Source organism: Homo sapiens (assembly GCF_000001405.40).
Source record: "Homo sapiens chromosome 9 unlocalized genomic scaffold, GRCh38.p14 Primary Assembly HSCHR9_UNLOCALIZED_CTG3".
NCBI classification, from domain to species: Eukaryota; Metazoa; Chordata; class Mammalia; order Primates; family Hominidae; genus Homo; species Homo sapiens.
The window spans coordinates 1-27,553 of NT_187374.1; the positions used below are offsets into that span (position 1 = coordinate 1).

The window sequence follows — 27,553 nt, forward strand, 5'->3', positions numbered from 1 at the left end:
GAATTCACTCAGCAGTCAGAAGAAAAGGAAGCCTCTTGTTGGAATTCATACTAAGAAGATCAGAAAGTGTAGTGGAAAAGAGAGGACTAGAACTGCAGGTGCAAGTAGAAGTTGGTGTCCAAAAAGAAGTGTATTTGTATTGTTCATTTGACCTCATTTATTTTAGTATGCAAGCGTGTGCTTAAAAATATTTCAGCCTTCTTTTTACTATATATGCAACTCATCATCATTTATTGAGAGATTATATATCCATCATTACTTCAATGATCTCATTTTTAGCTTTCTTCTTCTTTATTAATGGATGCAGTAACTTCTGGCATTCCCCTGAGAATATTAATTCTACTTATTTGGAAGTACTCTTTTTATTGCTCTCTGCTGTCTTTCTTTTGTATTTTATACATCTTTCATTTGCTTTATGTTATTTTAAATCTTACCCTATGCACTTACAATGATGGCACTTCTCTGAATGACTGTTGATTTTCTTCCTTTCTTTCTTTTTTTCATGTTGTCTACATTTTTTTTTCAAGGTGAGTTTCTGCTAGACTGTTATTACTGAGCAATCCTTTGGTAGAGAAGGAGGTTCATGCTGCTACAGGCCACAATTTGCCTCATTTGCAGTCAGATCAGGCTTTTTGTCAGAGAGAGGACATGCCCATTAGGCAATATGTATTCAGATATTTCCAACTGATCGCTGCCTTTTCTTTCTGATTCAAATTCCCATTCTCAATATATTTACCTAATGTATGCCTCCCTTTTGCCTTTTTAAGCAAGACTAAAAAATCAATACCCTTGAAAAAAATTGATTAATTTGGCTAACTTAAATTTAAAGTCTTCACTTCTAGCAAAATAGTTTTACTACATGTTTTTTACTATGAGAAAATATGTAAACTATGTATACCAAAGCAAATGTATAAATAATTTAGAAAAATAAAAATATTTCAATAGAAAAGTGGGAAAATGTAAAAATAGGTACTTACTGGAAGAATCAAGAGATTAGTTCTAAAGACCTTAATTATTTATTTAAACTAATTTAATTAAAATTTTAAAAATAATTAAATTTTTCAATAATCAAGTAAAACAAATTAAACTTAAACAATAGAACCTTTTATTTTGAGATGCAAAAGCATGAATCAAAGACATCTGTAAAGCTTAAATGTATTCAGATTGTAAAGCTAACCCATGTAAACCAAACTAGGCCAGGAATTAGACTATATTAGTGCCCCAGACTCCCCCAAGTGTCCCTTCCTAAAAGAAGCTCCTCTCACCCTAAGTTTTATGTATAATTTTTTTGCTGTGCTTCAAAAAGGTATAGCATGTATGCATCTCTGAACAACATACCTTAGTTTTTTTTGGCCTGCTTTGATAATTACTATGAAATCCTCTTTCTGTATTATTTTGTGCCACACTCCTTTTGTTCAACATATGTTTATGAGTGACAGCCCTGTTGTTGCAAGCGGTTGTAATTTATTTATTTTCACTGCTCTATAATATTTGATTGTTTATATAGATGAGAATTTTCTATTTTATTCCTTATATACATTTGTGTTATTTTAAAGTTTGGGTGCTTAGGAGCAAAGTCAATATGAAAATACTTGGACATATGCTCTCAGAATTATATGCATAAGTTTATCTACAACATATAACTATCCAAGGAATTTTAGGAGCAAACATATGTGGATACTTATTTAATCACAGACTAACTTTTTTTCAAATCAGTTGTATCAATTTATACTTCTTCCTGTGGTACCTAAGATTTCATAAAATTATACTTTCAATCCATGGGTTTAGCAAAATAATTCAAAGTTTAATAATATCAAATTGACATCTATAATTTAAGACCACTTTAGATGAAAATTTTTGATATCTATTAAATTTTACAATGTGAATAACTTATAAGCACAATTTTCCTTAACTCATCATCTGTCTTACGAAATACTAACATATGTGCAATAAAATGCAATAGGATGTCAATTACAGCTTTTTAAAAATAGTCAAAAGCCCATTAAATAGATTAAATGTCCACCAATAGAGAAATGGCTAAGTAAATATGACATATCTAAGAGTTAAAGAAATGATAAAGATTAACATGTGTTGAATCACTAAGATTTCCAATACATATTAAATTGAAAAATAAAAACACATTATTGTGGTTAAAAATACACAAAGTATTAGATTATCAAATCAGACTCACATGCATCGGAGATCTTATGCAAACTTAACTAATAATTTTATGGATAAAAATTATTGTGAGGTACAGGTGGAGCAAGGTAAGGTCAGATAGCACTGTGAGAATCCCTGGGTCCTTTCCTCCCACATCAGATATGCTTTGAACAAGGATAATAGATGATGATTCTGAGTAAGATGTGCGGTCATCTCACTTACACAGAGGAGATATTTAGATCACAAAATATCTCATTTTGTCTTTAGATGGTCCAGGAAACTATGCCCCATGAGTCAAAGAGATTTAGGTTTTATTATAAACAACCCTAGAAAAGAAATCACAGCACATACATTCTTCTAAAAGCATTCTGTAGGTAAGATATTCCTCCCTGGAAACTTCTTAGTTTGTTTGCCAAGAGGTTAGCCAGTTATATGGTTACCAAAAAACCTGCCTTCTTTGTCTCCAGCATGTTTCTTATTAAAGAGAATGAATGAATTGCAGAACTATTGTTTGCACATTTACTTTTAAATGGTTTATCAGTAAAATATGTGAGAATACATTTTTAAAATGAACTTATGTGATTGCTTTGGAAAATGTCTGGAAATACGCAAACCACACTGATAATAATGGCCTTCTGGGGATGAACCAACACACAATAGATTTACTGGTAATCGTTTGATTTTTTCAAAAGTACTACATTCCTGTATAATTTGCATGATTAAAATGTATTTAATATAATTTCCACCCGTGATAATTTTCTTGTGTATAAATAGGACATTGCTCTTGCTATTAGCAGCTATATACTGTAATATTTCTAGTTGAACCACAGGGTTTAGCAGACTTCAGCCCATATACTGAACCTGTCCTATTGCCTGTTTTTGTACAACCTGCAGCTAAGAATGTTTTTATATTTTTTGAATAATACAAAAATATCAACAGAAGAATAGTAGTCCGTAACACAAAATTAACAAAATATAACATTTGTGTCTATGAATAAAGTTGATAATATTGTAGCCACAGCCATTTGTTTGCATATTGTCTACTTTCTTGTTACAACAGGGTTTAGCAGTTGTGGCAGAGACTTCTACAATGTTCCCAAAGCCTAAAATATTTACTGTCTTACCCTTTATAGAAATAAATACTTTGCTGACACTGTGACTCATAATAATGTTTGCAACTACTTTTTGAATAAGCTCAGAAGTTTACAGACACACACTCCTAAAATATTTGTTATATTGCTCTTTATAGAAATAATTTGCTTATCCCTGTGAATTATAGTGATGTATACAACTGATTTTTGAATAAGTTAAAAAATTTAGCTGGGGCGGTGCCTCACACCTGTAATCCCAGCACTTTGGGAGGCTGAGGCAGGCAGATCACCTGAGGTCGGGAGTTCAAGACCAGCCTGACCAATGTGGAGAAACCCAGTCTCTACTAAAAATACAAAATTAGCTGGGTGTGGTGGCGCATGCCTGTAATCTCAGCTACTCGGGAGGCTGAGGCAGGAGAATCGCTTGAACCTGGGAGGCGGAGGTTACAGTGAGCCGAGATTGCACCATTGCACTCCAGCCTGGGCAACAAGAGCGAAACTCAGTCTCAAAAAAAAAAAAAAAACTTTACACACACACACACAAACATGGATTATGGATTGAGTTGCATGTATTTGAATATTAGTTTTGTTATTCTTGCAACTTATTAGGGGGTTTGACACTTTTTCTAAATTACAATTGGGTGAAATTTTTGCAATTGATAAATTGCTAGATAACATAATCTAGCTCATATTATATGATAACTTTAGATGTTAAATCAGTAATAAACCTTATGAAGATCTATGTTTCTAGGAAACAATTACTTCAACAAGAAGGGAAAGTAAAGACAGAAGGTAAAACAAAATATAAGATGAAATAAAATAAAGATGGGAATTGAATGCCATAGAAGTGTGGAAGTTGGAAGGAAAGTTTCTAAAATTATTTGGATAAAAAGGAAGCCATATATTTTACTGAATCTTCTAGATGGGTTTTAATTCTGTATCCTTTCATACTCATGTACTATGCCTTTTTTTTCAACTTTTCATTCCACTTCTACTTCCTAACTTATGATGAATTTACCTATATAGAGTCCTTTTATCATTTAGACTAAAATTGTATTTATTTGAAGGTAAGAACGGTCATATACTTCTTAGTTGTTTTCAGAATTGAAAACATGGTTGAGGCCAGGCACGGTGTCTCTCATCTGTAATCCTAGCACTTTGAGAGGCCGAGGCGGGGGGACTACGAGATCAGGAGTTCGATACCAGCCTGACCAACATGGAGAAACGTGGTCTCTACTAAAAATACAAAATTAGCTGGGCATGGTAGTGCACACCTGTAATCCCAGCTATTTGGGAGGCTGAGTAAGGAGAATCGCTTGAACCCTGGAGGCAGAGGTTGCAGTGAGCCAAGATCACGCCATTGCACTCCAGCCTGGGCAACAAGAGCAAAACTCATCTCAAAAGAAAAAAAAAAAAAGAAAACATGGTTGAAAGTCAATATCCATGTGATAAATTGAGTTAGAAAGCCAATGAGAGCTTAGCTAATATAAAGGTGATGGAATTCACTATCAAAACTTTTCAGAGACTTAGAAAAAATATGGAAAATTAGTGAAAATGTAACAGAATGAGGCTTGAAATCAAGATAATTAAACTGCAAACTTTAAGAAGGCAGGAAAGATATCCTTTACTTAGTTTGTCTTGTCCAACTAATGGTTAGTTGAATGCCATGCACATAACGCATCCCTCTGAGTACTTATTGAATAAATGTAGAATGTCATTCTGGAATAAATTGAGGCAAGAAACTAGAGGGATAGCAGTGTGAAAAGTGAGATTAATTTATTTGGTATAGAGTCAGTAAATTTAAGTGGGCCATTTGAAACAACAAGCTTAAAAGAAAACCAAATAAGCATTTTCAATGCATAGAAATGCAACCATTTTTCTCCTTCTGTACTTTATCCATTCAAACATTGCTTGAAAAAAAATATAACTTTCAGTCTTGCTTTTTTATCTCCACCAAACTCAGATAATTTTGGTCATTGATGACCTAAGCTAATTCCTATTTTAGAATGCTATGGACGAATGAATCTCAAAACTTCTTTTAACCAATTTATTTTATTCCATTTCCTAAGGAATAGAAACTTTTTACCTCCAACCAGGGGAGCTATGAAACAAACTCCCTATTTATTTCCAATCTAAACACATTTGATAAAACAGGCAGAGGAATTTTTTATCAGATCTGTATTTTAAATTTTCATGACTGTTGTTCAAGAGTTTCCATTCTTCTTCATAAATATGTAGAGGCTTAAAATTCTTTTCTGAAAAATAAACTGCTACTTTAAATGATTTTAACTCATATTTATAATACCTTTTTTTATTCTCTGATGATCTCTTGCTGTTTTTCTTTCTCTAGAAATGTTCTAAGAATAAATTAGCTGATATACTAAGAAAGGTTCACAAAATGAGTCCTTCACCTATACAGCACCTCTTCTAAATAACAGAGAGATTACAAATCCAATGTATTTAAACTCTGAGATGTCTATATGTGTAGTGTTAAAAAATGTAGCTGTCAGTTTTAACAGCTTTTCCCCTGAGATTTCAGTGGCTAGCTAATGATCTCTTTTAAGGATTAGGACAATTTCTAGATAGTGAAATGGCAGGAAAACATATCAAATACATATTTTTCCATTATACTATTCTGAGGACTGTAAAGTCTTACTCAATGTATATCACTTTTAATTTTTAGGATACATAGAAATATTTGCTAGTAGAAATAAATGGCAACTGTTTACTTGAAGATGGTTTAGAAAGATGCTTTTCTCTTTTAATTTGAATTGCTACTGTAAATGTCATCACATGTATTTCAGTATTGTCTATGCCAACTTTGTACCTGAAAAACAGTATTATGAATTGGGCATTATATTCCATCTTCATAAATTAAAAAAGAAACATAATAACTAGCGAAGTGGAATGAGGAAGGTGTGGGGAGACACAGAATTTTTCAAAAGTAGTAACAAATTCAAGCATGTATTAGCTTAATATATCATAACTTAAATGATTTAAATTAGGTATATGTTTATAACAATAAGTTTTAAATTCTTAATTCTAACCTCATCAAGTACCAACAAAGAATGCCCTTCCATATTAATACACTTTGGGAATTAAGATAAAGTATATGTAATTAAATCATCAAACTCCTTTTGTTGTTTAGCAGGTAGTTTGATATAATAAGAGAAATTGTGTTCTCATTATATATTTGTCACAATGAATGAATGTAAAACCTTAATCAGGCTATCTGACTTCTTTTAGTGACATTACCCTTTTTGCAACCAACACATCAAATTAGTAATATTTATCCTACAAAAATAATGTGAAGATAAATGAGATAACATATATAATAGTCACAAATACTTATTGAATAAAGCTGTTTTTATTTATATATTTCTATGTACTTACTAGATATGTTCTTATTAAATATTTTATTATGGTATATGTCAAGTCTTTTACTTCTTTTTTTATACTTAGTATATTATAGAACTCATCTTCCAATAAAATTGTAATACAATTTTCTTGATTTACTAATCCTAGGTGAAAAATATATATATATATATATGTTGTCTTCTGTTTGAATTATGCTTAGTGGATGGCATTTTCAATAATCTCTCTGATTCTTCCTTTTCCTGTTTAAACTACTCTCATTCTCATTGTGGCCTAGAGTTCTTTTTCCCTAATATTGCCTTCAGAAGGCTAAGTTTCTAATATAATAACAATTTGAGTCTTTACCACTTCTCTCTAGAATCGTGATTTAGACTAGGTTATTAGAGTAAACAATATGATTCCAAATTTTTTCTTTTTTTTTAATGGGCTAGCATCCAAAAAGCTTAAGAATTCTTGGGGGAAATGACATAATTAAGCTAGATTATTTTAATTTAAATTCAGAATTAAAAATCATTTTCAATAGCTTCTTTGTCTTAATTTAACAAGCTTTTGTTGAACATTGATTATATTTTGAATTCTATTTTTTCTTTTATTTTTAGTTGGCACATAATTATACGTATTTATGGGATACAGAGTGATATTTTGATACATGTATACAATATGAAATAATCTAATCAGAGTAATTAGCATATCTATCACCTTGTACATTTGTCATTTCCTTGTGATGTGAATATTCAGAATTCTGTCTGGTACGTTTTTAAAAAAATTCACTAAATTATTGTTAACTTAATTCACCCTACAGTGCTACAGAACAGTAGAGCTATTCCTCCCTTCTAGCTACAACTTTGTTACAAAGTTAACTTTGCTTACCAACCTCTTTCCATCCTCTTCTTATTCCCATCCTTTCCAGCCTCTGATAACTACAATTCTACTTGTTACTTTTATAAGTTCATTTTTACCTCCCACATATAAGTGAGAACATGTGGTTTTTCTCTCTCTGTGCCTGTCTTATTTCACTTAACGTAATGTCCTCCAGGCTCATCCACGTTGTAACTAATAACATGATTTCAATTCATTACAAAACTTAAAAGGATACTCAACAGTGCCAAACATTCTATTTTAGTTTCCCAATGCATTCACTCCCACAGCATTCATAACAATAACCTTCTACAAAGTTACCACATGTCTTATGCTAAATTGACAAGATCTCCCAATATTAAGTAAATTCTGTCCTTAGCTCTCCCTCTCATTTTAGTATTATCATTCTCATTAATGAATAATTCCCTTTTTGTTAAAAGTTTACATTGACCTACCGTTGTCCTTCAGTTATCAACTTACTTTGTATTCTTTCTTTGAAAGAAATCAATCAAACAATAGACAGTCTCCTTCAATATTTCCTGTACTGTCTTCAACCCACTTAGCTGAGTACTTTCTTTTTTCTCTACTTACTCACTTTTTCCCGCGTGTTCTCAAGCATTTTCATGGGTTTAAAGGCCAGTTACATGATAGCATCTCAGAATATTTCCAATTTTGGTATCTTCTCTGAGGTAGAGCTTTGCATAGTCATCTACTTACTTAATATCAAATGTGGATTGTTTTATAGACAACTGAAATTCATAATGTTTTAAGTAGAGTTTTGTTATTTTCTCTGCTTCCCAGTTTGTGTGTGTATGTTTGTTTGTTTACTTCAGCTGGTGTTCCCATTGATTTTATCTTATCTAATACACCAAAACCCTATCAGTAGCTGTTTTCTTCAAACTTGCACATATCTTAAATATGTATTTCATTATTTTGAACAAGGTCTCCACCTTCTTGTCCTTTCACTTTAATAGTTTTCTAATTCATTTCCTTGTGTTTATTCTTGTCCCAGTAAAAATTATTCTTGGTTTAAGAGGCAGAGATATATATGTATTATAAACACAGGGAAACAAATTAGATATAAACCAATTATTATAAACCAATGTAATAATAATAATATATATTACATTTTTTTCTTTTTTATTTCTTCTTTTTCTTTTTTATTTTTTGTAATGTAAGCAAGATTCTTTCCCTCCTTTGCCTTAAATCCTTTAGTTACTTGTGGAGTACAATTACAAATCTCCAGGATGCTAAAGCTCTGCTCTGCTGTCTACAATCAAAGGCACCATTCAAGACCCTCACTCCTAACGAGACAGGGCTCTTTCCACTCTTGAAACACAGTTTTTCCCCATGTCAGGGTTTTGCACAAGGTAACATCTTGTCTTTGAAGCTTCATAGTTTGGCTTGTTAATCAAATGGTTCCTTTTCCATATTTAAGTCATCACTTTACATTTCATTTTCTTGGAGAGGTCTTCGCATGACTCCAAGCTATCACCAGTTATGTGCTATTGTAGAACATGGTTTATCCAGAAATAGTGATAACTTTCATCACTATTGATCATTCTTTGGTTTTCTTTACATTTATTTTATATCTTAAACACTGTAATATAAAAGACCTCAGGGATGGACCATGAATTTTATATTTAGCACAATACTTCAGAAGATCCATACTATCCTTTTTCTTTTTTATTCATTTTATTTTAAAATTTTCATTTTGAACTACTTTAAAGCTTACAAAAATATATTTTAAAAAATCAAGAGTTCCTATATATTCTTCACCCAGCTTCTTGACTGCTAACACCAATCTAAGAGTACAGTTACTCACATTAGGAAATTGATATGGAATTAGTTACTTACCTACATATTTTGTTCATGGTTCCACTAATGTTTTTTAACTAGGATCAAAATCAGGGTCACATATTGCATTTATCTGCTACATTTCTTTAGTCTTCTTTATCTGGGTGCGGTGGCTCATGCCTGTAAGCCCAGCACTTTGGGAGGCCAAGGCGGGCGGATCACGAGGACAGGAGATAGAAACCATCCTGGCTAAAACGGTGAAACTCCGTCTCTACTAAAAATACAAAAAATTAGCTGGCGTGGTGGCGGGCACCTGTAGTCCTAGCTACTTGGGAGGCTGAGGCAGGAAAATGGCATGAACCCAGGAGGCGGAGCTTGCAGTGAGCAGAGATCATGCCTCTGCACTCCAGCCTTGGCAACAGTGCAAGACTCCATCTCAAAAAAAAAAAAATGTTAAAAAAGAAAATTCAGCTTTTCTTTTTGTCTTTCATGCCCTTGATACTTGTTTTTTGTAGATTATTCTGAAGTTTGATTTTTTTCTAATATTTCTTCATGGTTAAATTCACATAATATATTTTGGCAAGAATGCCACAATGCCGAGGTTGTCCTTCTCAGTGCATCATATCAGGAGGCACATGATATCATCGTGTCCTAATACTGTTGACGTTAACTCTGATCACTTGAATAAGATATTGTCTGCCACATTTCTCCACTTCAAAGTTACCATTTTTAAAATCAGTATTTTGTTGAGAGATACTTGGAGATTATGTAAATATCTTGTTTCTCATAATTGTATCCACTAATTTTAGCAGACTTGTCTGCAACAATTATATGGTATTTGCCAAGAAATGAGAATCTATTTCCACTATTCTTTCTATATTTATTGATTAGAATTCTACTGTATGGAAAAGCTTTCCTTTGTCCCACTTTTCTTATTTATCCAATTATTTATTTATATTAGTGTGGATTCATGTGTATTTGGTTTAATTAATCTGAATAATCTATTGCCATCATTATTTATTCCCTTGCTCAATTTATCTCAGTTTGTGTCACTGAGAGCCACTTCTAGTTAGCTCCTATGTTCTTTGGCATGTCTCCATCATTAGTTGAGACTTCCTTATTTTCTTAACAACAACAGATGTCTCAGACCCATTTTGTTCTTTCTGCCGCATGCACCTAGAATCAGGCATTGATCCAAGCAGCTCTGTATCCTTTTAACGAAGAAAAAAGTGAATCCAAGATTTGAATGCTAGATGTGCTGATTGCTATTAAAATGTTATTGCTTCTAGTCTTAGTGGTTAAAATTAAGAAATATACACACATTCGGCCGGGCGCTGTGGCTCACACCTGTAATCCCAGCACTTTGGGAGGCCAAGATGGGCGGATTATGAGGTCAGAAGATTGAGACCATCCTGGCTAACACGGTGAAACCCCGTCTCTACTAAAAATACAAAAACATTAGCTGGGCGTGGTGGCAGGTGCCTGTAGTCCCAGCTACTTGGGAGACTGAGGCAGGAGAATGGCATGAATCCAGGAGGCAGAGCTTGCAGTGAGCCAAGATCAGGCCACTGCACTCCAAGCTGGGTGACAGAGAAAGACTCCATCTCAAAAAAAAAAAAAAATATATATATATATATACACATTCACACACAAACATGTGCATCTAGGTCTATTTATATATCTACACATTCTTTTCAATTTCTATCTAACGTAGAAAAAAAGTAAACTTAAGTATATATTGATAGTTTTGATTCTGATTGAACACCATAAGTGTTATTCTAGTCTCCACTCCCCTTCATTTCTAAATTCTTTTTCTAAAACAGAATCACTTAGTTTTGTTTTAGTTAATATACTTAATATAATCATTTGCTTTTTATTTTTATTTTTTTAAATTTCAACTTTTAGATTTGAGGATATATGTGAGGGTTTGTTACAGAGTATACTGCATGATGCTGAGGTTTGGGGTATGACTGAACCCATCATCCAGGTAGTGAGCATAGAACCCAAGAGGTATTTTCTATGGCACTTTACACATTCTAGAAAACTGGTTGTTAATTAGCACAAGCACCTATAATAGTGCCTGATATATTTAATACTCAAAATATATGTTAAATTAAAAACAAATGTATAAATTAATGGTTGACTATCATAATAATTACTCAAAATGTAACATAATTCCAAAGGAGAAAACTTTTTTCTAAAAAGGCTCTCTCAATTGCTCTTTCTGATTTATTATTTTCCCCAAATCTGTAGTTGCTTCATTATTGTTTGGAATTTTGCATTAGTTGTCAACAAACAAAAAATATGGATCATACCACAGCTCTTTCATTGCTTTCATTTCTTGAGATATATGAATGTATGTGATATCTTTGATGTCCTGTATTTTATCTTTATTGCTTTTTGTTACTTAAGAACATCTAGAAAAGAAGATAAATATTAATCATGTCAGAAATTATCAAAGGTTGATTACAATAAAAATTTCTCTAATGTGATAACCACTCAAAAACTTCCTTCTTCATCAAAACACAGTATTTTTTAAAAAATAGAGTGCTTCATTTTTATTTCACAGAAAATAATCAAATGATAGCCAGAATATTATGAACTAGAGTCACATAGGCTATTCTAATAATACTTTTTGTGAAAGAAGTATTGAGGAGGTCTTAGGACCAAAGAATATTTGTTTAATAGTGTCAGAATTCATTTTAACACCATAAAAAGGATATGTATTTGTTCAATTTCACTCACTGCACAAAGAATTAGATAAAAGAAGATTTTCAGTAATAGCATTCATTTTGAGTCTTACCAATCCTTTCAGTTTTGGTATAACAAAAAGGCTATTAGCTTTTACTCTGTTGTGTTGAATTTTGATGATTTCTGACAGTCTTCACTGAGATGCTCAAAGAGATGAGACTTGCCAGTCGAATAACTTAAGATCTCATTAAATTTACCAGCAACATAAAAGCTATTTCTGCCTCTTAACTTTTTGATGTGTTGCCTTTTTCTAATCCTCTTCTCAGGACCTATTTGAAAGACAATAAAAATTTTGTTTTTGTGTGTTGAAAGATTTCTCCATTATCAAGAGAGTAGTCAGTTCTTAACTTTAGAATGATTGTATATATAGATATGAAAAATAAGGAAACAATTATTAAGAAAACTAATCAAATTTTTTACTAACATTTAGTAATTTTAACAAAATTATTGTACATTGTATTTTGCAGCATTTATGCAGAGGATATACTAACCTGTTTAAATTTTTAGACACAAATAGTAGAAAATAGAACATCATCATTTTCAGGAGCAAGGAAGTAACCTGTGAAAAAGTGAATGCCTTTCTTCAAATAATATGCTAATGAAAGGCTGAGATATTAATGTCCAAATATTATAAAACGTTCATTTTAATATAATGTTTTACTTTATATTTATATTGTATTGTATAACAAAGAAATGTGAGTCTTCTTACACCTGAGAACTTGAACTGGCAATCTACATATTGTTGTTGAAACAATTTTAAATTAAAAATACAATGAGAGGGAAAAATGATTCTGTTGCCTCAATTTTAAAAGGAATATTTTGAAGAAATAATTTTCCATATAATAGCTTGTTATGATCTTGCCTTTTAGCCTCCCTGGATAAAGAAAAGCATACTTATAATAATTGAAGGAAGACAATTTTCCTTGTTTTCTGCAAATTAGAAATATATTAGGCTATTAAATACATAATTCAAAATATACAGAATAAAGGTATTATAGAACCTAAGAATTATATAAAGAATTATATACATAAAGTAATGAATACATATACAAATAGTATAAAAATACTAAAAATAGTATTTGCTTATTGATTAATTACTATGGGTATTATATAACTCTTAGTTTCTACATTGCCTTTCTATTCTTAGTTATTATAATAGGTATATTATAATTACTAATACGTATAAACTACTTATAGTTTATATGAATGTGTTATATGTACATGTATATTATAATAACTAATACCGATAAACTATTTACAATTATACATATTATAATAACTAATAAATATAAACTACTTATTGTCAAAACTGTTTTTAACTATTAAAAGATAAAGCACACAGATATGTTTTCTTTACTAGGTATTCCCAGAAGCACTCATAAAACTCGGAGTTTTCATATAGCAGTGATTACAGACTTGCTATTTTTATTATTCCCATTTCATAGATTAAGAGCACAAGACTCATTTTAGTGTTATTTAGCCATGTCACAGAGCCAGTTCCCAGATATTTTTTCCACTTGTTTTGTCATGAAGAATGAGAAGTAGAATCAGCATCAAGTTTGTGCTAAACAAGTACAATAATAAGAAAGCACAGCAAATGCTGACTAGACTGTAAGAATATTTTTGCTTTTAGGCTACCCAAAAAAGATAAGATATATGAGGTGATCAAAGTGAATAATTATATAAACAAGAGGAATTAGAATATGAATAAGCCAGGAAAAATAGGAATAGTCCAAAAAAACACACACACCCATTTCTTATTTAAACTTAAAAGGAGACAAATTCATTCAATCTATATATATTTATTTTGCTACCTCAATAGAGATAAATATCTTCTCTAAGAAAAATCCCACTTTACTTAATATGTATCACATTTACCTAACAAGTAACATATTACTAAAACAGAGAGCAACCAGTGTTTTACTCTTTTTTTTTTCAGAGATTTTTTGCTCTTGTTGCCCAAGTTGGAGTGCAATGGCATGATCTCGGCTCACTGCAACCTCCACCTCCCAGGTTCAAGCAATTCTCCTGCCTCAGCCTGCCAAGTAGCTGGGCTTACAGGCATGCACCAACATGCCTGGCTAATTTTTGTGTTTTTTTTTTAATAGACACGGGATTTCACCATGTTGGTCAGGCTAGTCTCGAACACCTGACCTCAAGTGATCCACCCGCCTCGGCCTCCCAAAGTGCTGGGATTATAGGCATGAGACTTTGCGCCTGGCCTCATTTATTTTCATATAAAATATAGGGTCAAGTATGTTGAGATATTAATTACGCTATATTTTGCTCAGTATTGCCTGAGAGTTGGATTATTATTTTTTTTTTTTTTGAGACGGAGTCTCGCTCTGTCGCCCAGGCTGGAGTACAGTGGCGGGATCTCGGCTCACTGCAAGCTCCGCCTCCCGGGTTCACGCCATTCTCCTGCCTCAGCCTCCCAAGTAGCTGGGACTACAGGCTCCCGCCACTACGCCCGGCTAATTTTTTTGTATTTTTAGTAGAGACGGGGTTTCACCGTTTTAGCCGGGATGGTCTCGATCCCCTGACCTCGTGATCCGCCCGCCTCGGCCTCCCAAAGTGCTGGGATTACAGGCGTGAGCCACCGCGCCCGGCCGGATTATTTTATCATTGTAGAGAATAGCTTCTAGGTTATGAGAATATTAAATAAAATAAACTGGAGAGACTCTCAGCAGCAAACTATGGTATGTAAGTATATAGGTAAATATGTATCTATCTATCTATTTATCTATCTAATCTAGCCTATCTATCTATCTATCACCTATCTATCCATCTATCTATCTATCTCCTTTTCTTTCATTTATGTCTGGATCTGTACCAAACACCAGGCAGAGGAGTTAGGAGAAGTAACTGAAAAACCCATGGGTGACATCACCAACTAAAACAGGTGACAAATAATCAGCATAAAACCCAGGATACAAGAGTAATTGTCCTAATCATTGGCAGCATAGGGCCAGTACCAGCTGGACTTAATGGCAAAGATAAAATGAAGATAAAAGGAAGTATTGTAAGATCTTAATATCAATAAACTACAACAAGAAATCATCAATAATGCTCACTCCCAAAAGAAAAATACTTACCCTGAAGAAAAACAACTGGAACAAAATCAAAATTAATCAGAGAATCAGATAATCTGAGACAAGTAAGATAATTTTTAGAAAATAGTTTTTAGAAAAAAAAAATTTGAAGGTACATAAAATCAAATAGAAGTGGTACGAACTATAGTAAGAGATATAGAGTATAAAAATAAGAGTAAAAAACAGAAATTGAGAGATTAAAAACATCTAAAAATTTTCTAAACATAGAACTTAGGCAAAGAATAGTAATACCCATGTAACGGTTATTTCTAAGAACAAAAATTAAAATAAAAAATAATATTAATTATTTGAGCATGAAGGTAAAAGGATAAGAAGTTTATATTGATAATAGACTTCTTGATAGCAACATTTTATACAAGATGATAATCAAGAAATGGTTTAATGATTATGAAACAGATAACACAGTAGCGAGATGAGATTTTATTCAACCAAACTATGAATCATGTCTAAGGAATGTAGAACATCATGAATATTTATGATTTTAAGAAACATTGTTCCTGTGATGGCTTTTTTAGAAATGTCCTACCTACTGACAAGAAGACAAACATCATGTGAAGCTTCTGGATAAGGACTAAATATGTTTAATTTTATAATTAAGAACAAGTAATGGGGATTAAAGTGACAAAACATGATGCTATTAAGTGTGTTAAACATGAAGAAATAATGCAACTCAACAACAAATGGAAAAAAGGAGAAGAAAAAGAAAGTAGACGAATCTTAATGACTATCTCAGGAGTATCTAACTGCCATTAAAAAAATATGGAATTAAAGTAAATGTTAAGCAAAAAGAGAGAAGAAAGGAAAGAAAGTTTACTAGAATACAGTATTACTACTCATTGAAGAAATCAATAGACAGTATTCAAACACACTAGAGGACTAGTATATTTTATTATAATATTATTATAAGATAATAATAAGAATAAACATAGAAACATTTATAAATACCAAATGAGTATATCCTGCCCCTCAAATTAAAGTGTAAATACAGGGCAAGATTTTATATAAATTATTTATATAGCAAAAACTTATATAACAGAACTTAACACCAGCATAACAGGTATATCAAAGACACAAATGGGCTTAACTCACCATTAAATGGCATACTTTTAGATTGGCTAATGGAGCAGAATCCAATCTATTCTGTGTGCAAGAAACATATTGAACAAGGCAATTCAGAATGGTTTAATGTAAAAGGAAGAGCAAAGATAGATCTTGTATGATAGCAAGATCCTGAAATAGTTGTCAGAATTTTGCTATGAGACAAGATAGAATTTAAGACAAAATAAATTTAACAGGATAAGGAAGGGAAATTTATTCTACAGAAGGATTCATGCTTCATTCTACATTAAAAATAAAATATATATTAATAACATACACAAAATTACAATTTTCATAAAGCAGAAAGAAGAAATAGACATTAAAACTGGAGATTTTAACATAGCTTATTAATTGGTAAGTCCTTGAAGAATGCAAATAAGCCTCACTTTTACTAATTAAAAAAAATTAACACAAATACTGACAAAGACTCTCTCCTTCATCAAACTTTAGTCAGATTTTTGAGCTCTCCTCTCAACTAGATCTTCACCTAGGCCCCTTGCCTAGTCTCCATAGCTCACTTTTAACAAGAATCCTTAAGTCCATATAGACAGAATCTTGATATCTGATCACCCTGAGCTGCCTTCAGCAAGAATCCTGTTAATTTGGTTTAGCAAGAGTTCCCCTACTTTTGATGTCTCCTCTTAGTAATTTTCCATCCACTGACCCCCTCACACTGCTCTTTTGCTATAAATTTCCATGTGTGCTTGTATTTGGAATTGAGCTCCTTTCTCTACTAAAGTCTCTTTTCCTGTGTTGCAATAATTTCTGAATAAAATCTTTCTTTACTGCTTTAATTACCCTCTGGCTCTGGTTCTCTTTGACATTACTCTTTGAAGAATCACTTTAGGGGAAAAGAATAAATGCAAGAAGACAAAGGCAGAGACTATTATCCAAATATAGAATGGAGATAATGATATCATACTGAATGGGCAAAAACTGGAAGCATTCCCTTTGAAAACTGGCACAAGACAGGGATGCCCTCTTTCACCACTCATATTCAACATAGTGTTGGAAGTTCTGGCCAGGGTAATTAGGCAGGGGAAGGAAATAAAGGGTATTCAATTAGGAAAAGAGGAAATCAAATTGTCCCTGTTTGCAGATGACATGATTGTATATCTAGAAAACTCCATTGTCTCAGCCCAAAATCTCCTTAAGCTGATAAGCAACTTCAGCAAAGTCTCAGGATACAAAATCAATGTACAAAAATCACAAGCATTCTTATACACCAATAACAGACTGACAGAGAGCCAAATCATGAGTGAACTCCCATTCACAATTCCTTCAAAGAGAATAAAATACCTAGGAATCCAACTTACAAGGGATGTGAAGGACCTCTTCAGGGAGAACTACAAACCGCTGCTCAATGAAATAAAAGAGGATACAAACAAATGAAAGAACATTCCATGCTCATGGGTAGGAAGAATCAATATTGTGAAAATGGCCATACTGCCCAAGGTAATTTATAGATTCAATGCCATCCCCATCAAGCTACCAATGACTTTCTTCACAGAATTGGAAAAAACTACTTTAAAGTTCATATGAAACCAAAAAAGAGCCCGCATTGCCAAGTCAATGCTAAGCCAAAAGAACAAAGCTGGAGGCATCATGCTACCTGACTTCAAACTATACTACAAGGCTACAGTAACCAAAACAGCATGGTACTGGTACCAAAACAGACATATAGATCAATGTAACAGAACAGAGCCTTCCGAAATAATGCCGCATATCTACAACTATCTGATCTTTGACAAACCTGAGAAAAACAAGAAATGGGGAAAGGATTCCCTATTTAATAAATGGTGCTGGGAAAACTGGCTAGCCATATGTAGAAAGCTGAAACTGGATCCCTTCCTTACACCTTATACAAAAATCAATTCAAGATGGATTAAGGACTTAAACGTTAGACCTAAAACCATAAAAACCCTAGAAGAAAACCTAGGCATTACCATTCAGGACACAGGCATGGGCAAGGACTTCATGTCTAAAACACCAAAAGCAATGGCAACAAAATCCAAAATTGACAAATGGGATCTAATTAAACTAAGGAGTTCTGCACAGCAAAAGAAACTACCATCAGAGTGAACAGGCAACCTACAGAATGGGAGAAAATTTTCGCAACCTACTCATCTGTCAAAGGGCTAATAACCAGAATCTACAGTGAACTCAAACAAATTGACAAGAAAAAAACAAACAACCCCATCAAAAAGTGGGCAAAGGATATGAACAGACACTTCTCAAAAGAAGACATTTATGCAGCCAAAAAACACATGAAAAAATGCTCACCATCACTGGCCATCAGAGAAATGCAAATCAAAACCACAATGAGATACCATCTCACACCAGTTAGAGTGGCAATCATTAAAAAGTCAGGAAACAACAGGTGCTGGAGAGGATGTGGAGAAATAGGAACACTTTTACACTGCTGGTGGGACTGTAAACTAGTTCAACCACTGTGGAAGTCAGTGTGGCGATTCCTCAGGGATCTAGAACTAGAAATACCATTTGACCCAGCCATCCCATTACTGGGTATATACCCAAAGAACTATAAATCATGCGGCTATGAAGACACATGCACACGTATGTTTACTGCGGCACTATTCACAATAGTAAAGACTTGGAACCAACCCAAATGTCCAACAATGATAGACTGGATTAAGAAAATGTGGCATATATACACCATGGAATACTATGCAGCCATAAAAAATGATGAGTTCATGTCCTTTGTAGGGACGTGGATGAAATTGGAAATCATCATTCTCAGTAAACTATCGCAAGAACAAAAAACCAAACACTGCATATTCTCACTCATAGGTGGGAATTGAACAATGAGAACACATGGACACAGGAAGGGGAACATCACACTCTGGGGACTGTGGTGGGGTGGGGGGAGGGGGAAGGGATAGCTTTAGGAGATACACCTAATGCTAATTGACGAGTTAATGGGTGCAGCACACCAACATGGCACATGTATACATATGTAACTAACCTGCACATTGTGCACATGTACCCTAAGACTTAAAGTATAATAATAATAATAAAAAATAAGGAATGGAGATAATGATGATGGTAATGTCTTGGATACTGATTGCAATGGACTGCATGTCTGTTGCCACCCTGTCTCTGAAACTTATAGGTGGAAATCCTAACCCTTAATATGATGGTATTAGGAGGTGGGACTTTCAGGAGGTGGTTACATCATGAGGTTGGAGCCCTTCTAAATGGAACTAGTTCCCCTATACAATAGACCCAAGAGAGTTCTCTCACTCTCTGGCATGTGAGGATACAAGAAGAAAATGGTAGTCTGCAACTTAGAAGAGAGATATCACTGAAACCTGGTCACTCTGGTACCATGGTCTCAGACTTCTAGCCTTTAGAACTGTGAAAAAATTGATTTTTGTTATTTCTAAGCCACCTAGTCTATAGGTCTTTGTGATAGCAGTCAGAATTGACTAAAACAGTAATAGTAGCAATGGCGATGGAAAGAGTGAATGCATTTGATATATACTTTGAAGAAAGAAATAACAGGACTATCAGTCATGTGGATGTTTGGCATGAGAGAAATGCAAGATGGTAATTAAACAACTTTGTGTCTAAGTCTGAAGGTTGGAGAATAGGCAAAGGTAAAAGTAAAGCTATGGGAGTTACCGACACTTATGAGCCCTTTAAAGGAATTATTTATTTTTATTGTTAAATCACCAAGGAAGGGTTGAAACAGACAATAGAAATTAATGCCAAATGAGCTGAAAAAAAAATGTGTTGCAATTAAGTTGGGAATAAAAAGCTGAGGTGGCAAGAAGAAAAGCAAGGTTGGTATATTTTTAAAGAACTCTATAATGAATAATGTTTTGAAGAGGAAGAAATTTTCAACAATTTGAAATGCTGCTGAGACTTTGGGAAATGTGAATGGTGCCCACGTAGAAGTTATTGACAGTCATTGAAACAACACTCCCTTTAGCATTATGTATAAGAAACTAGATTAGAATGAAACAAATGGATTCTTAATTCCAGAATTGTGGAGAAATAGAAAATCTAAAAACTTATTGGAAACACAAGAAATGCAACATGAACTACAATAACCATCCATTTCAATAAAATTAGAGGATTTCAGGTTCAGGTCATGATAAAGTAGCACAAACTCACACCCTGAAGTTGGCTATAAAAGCTGGGCAAAATATGTTAGACAATTATTGGAAGACACGGGAGAACAATCAATGTATACAGAGCTTGAGTGGGATTATTATTAAAAAGAAATAATTATAGACTATAAATTACATTCACTCAGACGTTTTTCCTCTAATAACATTTCCCAAATAGTGATGTGAAGAAAGAAAGCATATACAGAAAGTGAAATTTTACTGTGTTGAGGTGACAGAGATTAGAGTTCAGAGTATCTAGTGTGTATGGGGCTCATGAGACAAATTTCCAAGAAGGAGGTAACCACAGAGAGAGAGCCTGAATATCTGCATACAAATGTCCCTTAAGTGTGGCCAGTATCAAAGATATGTATGCACAAGGTGAGACGTCAAGAAGCCTAGCAGAAATCAATAAATGGGAGGTTGGAGTGCTGAGTTTAGATTTCAGCTAGTGGTTTAGAGAAGAAAGAGGTTGTGGTTCAAACACTGGTAATTACAGAGGATGAGATGGGAGTGAGAAACTATATGGCTAAATGTGGTCATTCTTCAGGTTTTAGCTTTTATGCAGGGTGCTATATGCTGGTTGCTTCCAACACTGAAAAAGTTATTATTTAATTACCTACATATAAAAGATGACCATGAATAGGCATAAGATGAAAGTATGTCATTAATCAAAATGATGATTAATTCAATTCTCTATAATTGAGATTCAATTAAAAAGAATATTATTCATCACATTCACAGAGTAAATGAGAAAAATCACATAATTTCAGTAGATGCAGATACGTTAAGATCTGTATCCTAACAGATATTGATACAAAGAAGTATTTGATAAAATTCATCATTAATTTACTGTATATATATATGCTCTTATTAAACTAGGATTTAAAAGGCACTTAATTAAGTTGATAAAGTGTATCTTTTGAAATCCTATAAACAATATGTTATGACATAATAATGTGGGAATGTTAGAAGACTTGCTTTTAAACCTGGGAACAAGAAGAGATTCTCTGTTATTTTCCTATGCTGCTGTAACAAATTGCCACAAAATGGGTAGCTTAAAGCAACACAGACTTTTTCTCTTATACTTCTGAAGGCCAAAAATTCATAATCAGTATCAGTGGTCTAAAACCAAGGTGTGATCAGCACCCTATTTTTTCCAGAGAACTCAGGGGAGAGTAATTCTAGAAATTATTCCAGAAACGCAGCTTCTAGAACTACATTTCTTGTCTCATAGGCCCCTTCTTCTATCTTCAAAGATAGCAGCGTATAATTTTCAAATATTTCTCCACTTCCATGATCACATAACCTAGATTCTATGTCAAATCTCCCTCTCCCTCACTCTTATAAGGACACTTAAGATTGCATTTAGAGCCCACCAAGATAATTCATGATAATCTTCCATCACAAAATTCTTCACTTATTCACATCTGCAAGTCTCTTTGCCATAAAGGTTACATTTACAGGTACTAAGGATTAAGACCTGACATCTCTTGAGGCCATTATTCACCCTAACACAGATGTCCTCTCTTGCTGCTTGTTTTACACATTGTACTTTTCTGAATACTTTTGAGAAAGTTTGCTCTAAAGAAGAAAAAAAAGTAGTTCTATATTTGTGAGACATGTAGACTGAGGAGAATGACTATTTTTCTAATGTGATATATAAAAGCACATTTATGTGACAATAGCAATAATAGAGAAGATAAAGTTATGCAGAAGGGAGAAGATTTGACAATAGCAAGCATGAAAGTCCTGCAGGAGAAAAGTTTGGATGGGATACTGAATAAAATTGTAATATTACTTTTTGATGCATACGTTCACACCATTTTTTCACAATGCTTCCTAGATTGCTCTGTATTTCTTTCCCATCTATATATATATACGCATATATATATACACATATATATACACATATATATACACACACATATATATACACACATATATACACACATATATATACACATATATACACACATATATACACACACATATATACACACACACATATATATACACATATATATACACCTATATATACACACATATATATACACATACACACATATATATACACATTTTGACTGAAAATGATTGACTAGGATGAAAGAAAATGAGAAAGAAAAACGGAACAAGGAATTCTCAATTATATAAATAGAATATTATAATTAGTAAACCATGAATAAAAGAAGGCATATGGGCTGGGCGCGGTGGCTCACGCTTCTAATCCCAGCACTTTGGGAGGCCGAGGTGGGCGGTTATGAAGTCAGGAGATTGAGACCATTCTGGCTAACAGGGTGAAACCCTGTCTCTACTAAAAATAGGAAAAATTAGTCAGGCGTGGTGATGGGCACCTGTAGTGCCAGCTAGTCGGGCGGAGGCTGAGGCAGGAGAATGGCGTGAACCCGGGAGGCAGAGCTTGCAGTGAGCCGAGATCGTGCCACTGCACTCCAGCCTGGGCGACAGAGCGAGATTCCATCTCAGAAAAAAGAAAAAAAAAGGAATACTTGATAAAAAAGGTATCCATATATCAGATAAGAAGATGTAAAATTTATGTGCTATCTACTTCTGGAATTTCCACCATAAGGGAATAATAATGACGTAGGGGTTCACTTAAAGGACAGAACTTGTACTTGGTTACTTATGTACACAATCTCTGCCTTACTTGCTTTTGGTGGATCGTATTGTGTCATTTCAATGTGGCCATTATTGTCTTTTATGAACATATACAATAAAGTAATATACCTTTACATAATGTCTACATCTCTACTGTAATTTAAACTTTAATGGCTCAAAAATGCTAAATTACAAAATAGAGAAAGATGTGTGTTAAATGCAGATTAATATAATTTAAATAATATTATATATGATAAGGGTTTGTAAAACTTAACTATTAAGATGGATAGATGAGAAAGATAGAAACCTAGAATACAATACTAGAAAATCTAGAAACATAGTAGAGATGAGTTCAATAATTCAATTCTATATAAGAGGTCATCAAACTACAAAGCACAGAGCTAATCAGGCCACTGATGCATTTTGGTAAACAAAGTTTTATTAGAATAAAGTGACATCCTTTTATTTTACTTATTGTTTATGGATACTTATGCACTACGATGGCAAATACTGGTACTTGTGACAGAGATCACATGGCACGTACATTCTAAAATACTTAATAGTTGGCCCTTCACGAAAGGTTTTGAGAGCTACTGCTCTAGGAAATCTCAGGTTCAATGTCAGTTATGAATCAGCTTTGCTTAGCATAGCCATGTTTGAAATCCTTTCCAATGACAATAATTGTTACTGCCTCTAGACAGAAGAGTCCAATTATTTTAAGGTTTCATTATTAGGAATGGTTCATTTAATTAAGCCATAGTTGTTACTTCAAGTATAATTAATTAGTGAAGGTATATTGCTTTTATGGGATATAATTAATAGGAGAATAGGTTACTGCTCTGTGGCATAGTTAGAATTTAAATGCTGTGGCTTTATAGAATTTAAAGGTAGGGTCTGTTTATTATGAATTATGCCTCCCATCATCTAGCTCATGTGAGGTAGTTCTGGAATAGCACATTATTTATGTTTGCTGATAATTTATTTTAGATATAATGGTTGGTTAGGAAGGAGTTCATGGTGAAGAAGGTAGATGTCACAAAAACATGCCTGAAATGGTGATGGAGAAGACGAATCCGTGTATTTATTCATTTAATAAGTTATGTTGTCATTCAAGCAAATAAAAATAGTCTTTACTCTGAACATTCATATAAAATATCTGTTGTATAATTAATCGTGTGCTTCTGAATAAAATAGATGAAAGCATAGTTTGCATCATAAGCATTAATTCATTAAAATTTACCCTGAACATTGTTATTTGGTTTTATTAGCAAGAAATATAGCACTTGGAATGGTTTTAGTAAACCATACATGTGAAGAACTCTAGATCATAAAGAACCTAAAATACAGAATTTTCAGCATTATTATAATCTATTTAATTATACATTCAGGTTTATTTGTTACTGAAACTTAGTAACTTGATTTTGGGAGTTTTATATCGCTTCTGTGTCTTGTTTGTTTGCACAAGTTTGTTTATGGTGAAGTGCAAAGTATTTTAGTAAAAGGGATTTGAGCCACAGATGACAAATAATTACAGGAACATATAACATAAACTACACTTGGACTTTAAAGCAGGTTTAGATTATATTACTTTGGTTATTATTCTTTGTTTTCAAAAGGGAATGATGGGTTATAGCTTTATGCCCAAATATTTAGGCAAAACACGACAAAAGAAGGGTGAAGAGACCTTTTATCTAATGGACAAAGTAGAAGGTAGCACTCATAAAATATACTGTTTTGTGTAATAAGTGAATGGAATCTTTACACAATTTTTTGCTAGGGTTAATTGTTTAGGAAACTTTTCTAATTGGCAACTACTTCATAGAAAAACTTGATCCAGACCTATATGTGGAACTTCCCTTTATATTAACTTGCTGAAATTATTAAAGTTAAAAGCTTGTTTTTCCAGGTTGATACTCTCAAGACCTACAAAGACCAGCACATTGAAGCAATCAGTTGATTACCATCATGATGCCTGCGTATGTTTATTTCATGTCAGACACACCTGAGGTCTGTAATTGAATACATAAAGAGTGCAACCATGGAAGAAACAAGGTTGGCTTGTGGTGCTCCTATGGCAGCATCAACACAACTTCAAGTGCACCATGAGCATGAGCACTGCCAAGAAAATATATTGGCTCTCAACTCTCAGAATACTGCCATGTCTAGAACTTTTGGCCTTGCCAACCACTGGGCAGTAAGAGACAGTAACAAATCACAGCAGATACTGTTTCCTTAGAGCAATTAAATTACATCAGAAAAACTAAGCTGAGTGATAACAAAACAATTTCTAAATGTCAGGAGCCTATATCAATTCATTCATAAGTTGCTCATTTCACATGTCCTTGGTGTTGCTTATGATTCTACTCATGGGTCATTGTCACCTTTATACCAGGATCTAGAGGACAAAGCAGCCACTCCAGAACATTGAAAGTTACTGTAGTCGAGGAAAAAAAGAATGTTGTGAGGCACGCTCTGAATTTTTGCCTCTAGAAGGAAACAGACACTTTAGTCTACTAACATTTCAATAAGCAAAAGGAAATCACATTCCATAACTGAATTAAACAGGGCAGTGAGCTATATCCTACCATGTGTGTGAAGAAGCCAAAAAATATGTAAGCAATCCTAATGTTTATCACCTTAAATTTATCCATGCATGCTACTGTGGTCACTTTCACTGTAAAAGCAGTCATTGCAGAATCATCACCAGTATCTCAGTATATTAGTCAGGGCAATTAATATTAGTTTCTGAACCAAACTGCAAATATCTGTGACTTAACACAATTTTTTTTCTTCTCATTCATATAATAATTCAGTAGAGGATTAACTTTCTGAAATTCCTTAAACGTTTTCACAGAATACTCTGCATTTAATATAAAGAGGAGTATGAGAAGCATTGCATGAGGTATCTTATAGCTCAGTCTAAAAGTGGGAAATATAACTTCTACCTACATTTCATTCACCAGTGAAATGGTCTCATCCTACCTGCAATTGAGGCTGAAAAATACAGCATTTTCTTGTGGTCCAAAGAAGGAAATAATGTTACCTCACCAATCTCTGTCAAGGTCAGTCCTTCTGATGCCAAAATACCTGCTTTAATCTTCCTCCCATTATAAAACACACTGACTTCTCTCAAAATGAAAAATGCAGAGTTCTTTCAAGGTCTGGCATCCAGCTCAAAATGTAGTATCTCTGGCCACTCATAATTCTCCCAGTGAAGTCCAGATAAGGTCCTCATTTCTCAGTAAAATCTAAACTTAAAAGAATAAATATGTGTCCTGTGTACAAATATGCAATGGTGAAGTGGGAACAAGGTGGCAGCAATAAATACATCTCTATCACCACAGTCATTTGTTCTTGACTATTTGCAAATCATTTCAGGAAGACATGGTGAAACATCCTACACTGTGAGTGGCAGAACCCCATGTGCACTGCAATCTCATTTCCTACCCTCCAGAGGAGTATATAAACTTTTCCTACATAAATAATGGCCACATTTTTGTATCGATACATTGTAAGTTCTAAGATGTGTGTGTTTTTTTTAAGAAGAATTAAAATAGAAAAGCATATACCTAAAAGATGTTCCTCGGGATATATCTGCATATATTCTCTACTCTTGTCATTTTAAATAAAAATACAGTGGTCCCTTGATATCCTCAAGAGATTGGGTCCAGGACCCCAGAGGATACCAAAATCAGCACATATTCAAGTAATCCTGTGGAACCAGAGTATACAAAAAGTCAGTCCTCCATATCTGCGGGTTTTTCATCCTGTGGCTACTGTATTTTGATCCACATTTCAATGCAGATGCTGATTTTTTTTAATTAAAAGAATCTCTATATAAGGGGATGCACACAGCTCAAGCTCATGTTGTTCAAGTGTCAACCGTACTTTTTTATTTCTGTCCAATATAATTTAAATAACATAATTCTGTGAACTGCATGTCATTAATTACATATACTAAGAGGTGGCGTAACAATGTGTTTAAATTCCAAGAAATGGTGGCTAGCAAATTTAATTCTCATCTCTGCTCTGCCACAGACAAGTTCTGAAGTCTTGAGCAAATCATGAGTATCTATCTCTAGCTTACTCATCTTAAGAAGGAGCCAGTAAGTAGCAATTATCTTTCAGTGTTCTTATGAGAAGTAAATAACCTGTACACATCAATGCTCAGAACAGAGACTGCCATGTGGTATTATGTCCGGAGTTGGTTCCTGCCTGTGGGTTTGGTGGGTTCGTGGTCTCGCTGACTTCAAGAATGGAGTCATGGACCTTTCCCGTGTTACAGATCTTAAAGATCACGTGGACCCGACGAGTGAGCGGTAGCAAGGTTTATTGTGAAGAGCAAAAGGAGAAAGCTTCCACAGCATGGAAGGTGACACCAGCAGATTGCCGCTGCTGGCTGGGGGGTGGCCAGCTTTTATTCACGTATTGGCCCCTCCCATGTTCTATTTTTGTCCTATCAGAGTGCCCTTTTTTTCAATCCTCCCTGCAATTGGCTACTTTTAGGATCCTGCTGATTGGTGCATTTTACAGAGCGCTGATTGGTGCATTTTACAGAGCG

At 33.7% G+C, this 27,553-nt stretch overlaps 1 long non-coding RNA gene across 5 annotated transcripts; it reads right to left on the reverse strand.

The window, feature by feature from the left end:
• Positions 1–10,213: 10,213 nt before the first annotated feature.
• On the reverse strand, positions 10,214–26,279 carry LOC107987370 (uncharacterized). 5 transcript variants are annotated; one of them, XR_001756129.1, is made up of 5 exons: positions 25,975–26,279; positions 12,524–12,591; positions 12,085–12,301; positions 11,597–11,698; positions 10,214–10,492 (listed from the first exon to the last, which is right to left on the reverse strand). It is a non-coding gene; the product is annotated as an uncharacterized LOC107987370 (long non-coding RNA). The 5 variants fall into 5 exon arrangements; XR_001756128.1 differs by lacking the exon at positions 10,214–10,492 and having other exon boundaries at positions 11,493–11,698; positions 26,036–26,279; XR_001756127.1 differs by lacking the exon at positions 10,214–10,492 and having other exon boundaries at positions 11,493–11,698.
• Between the last annotated feature and the right edge of the window lie 1,274 nt (positions 26,280–27,553).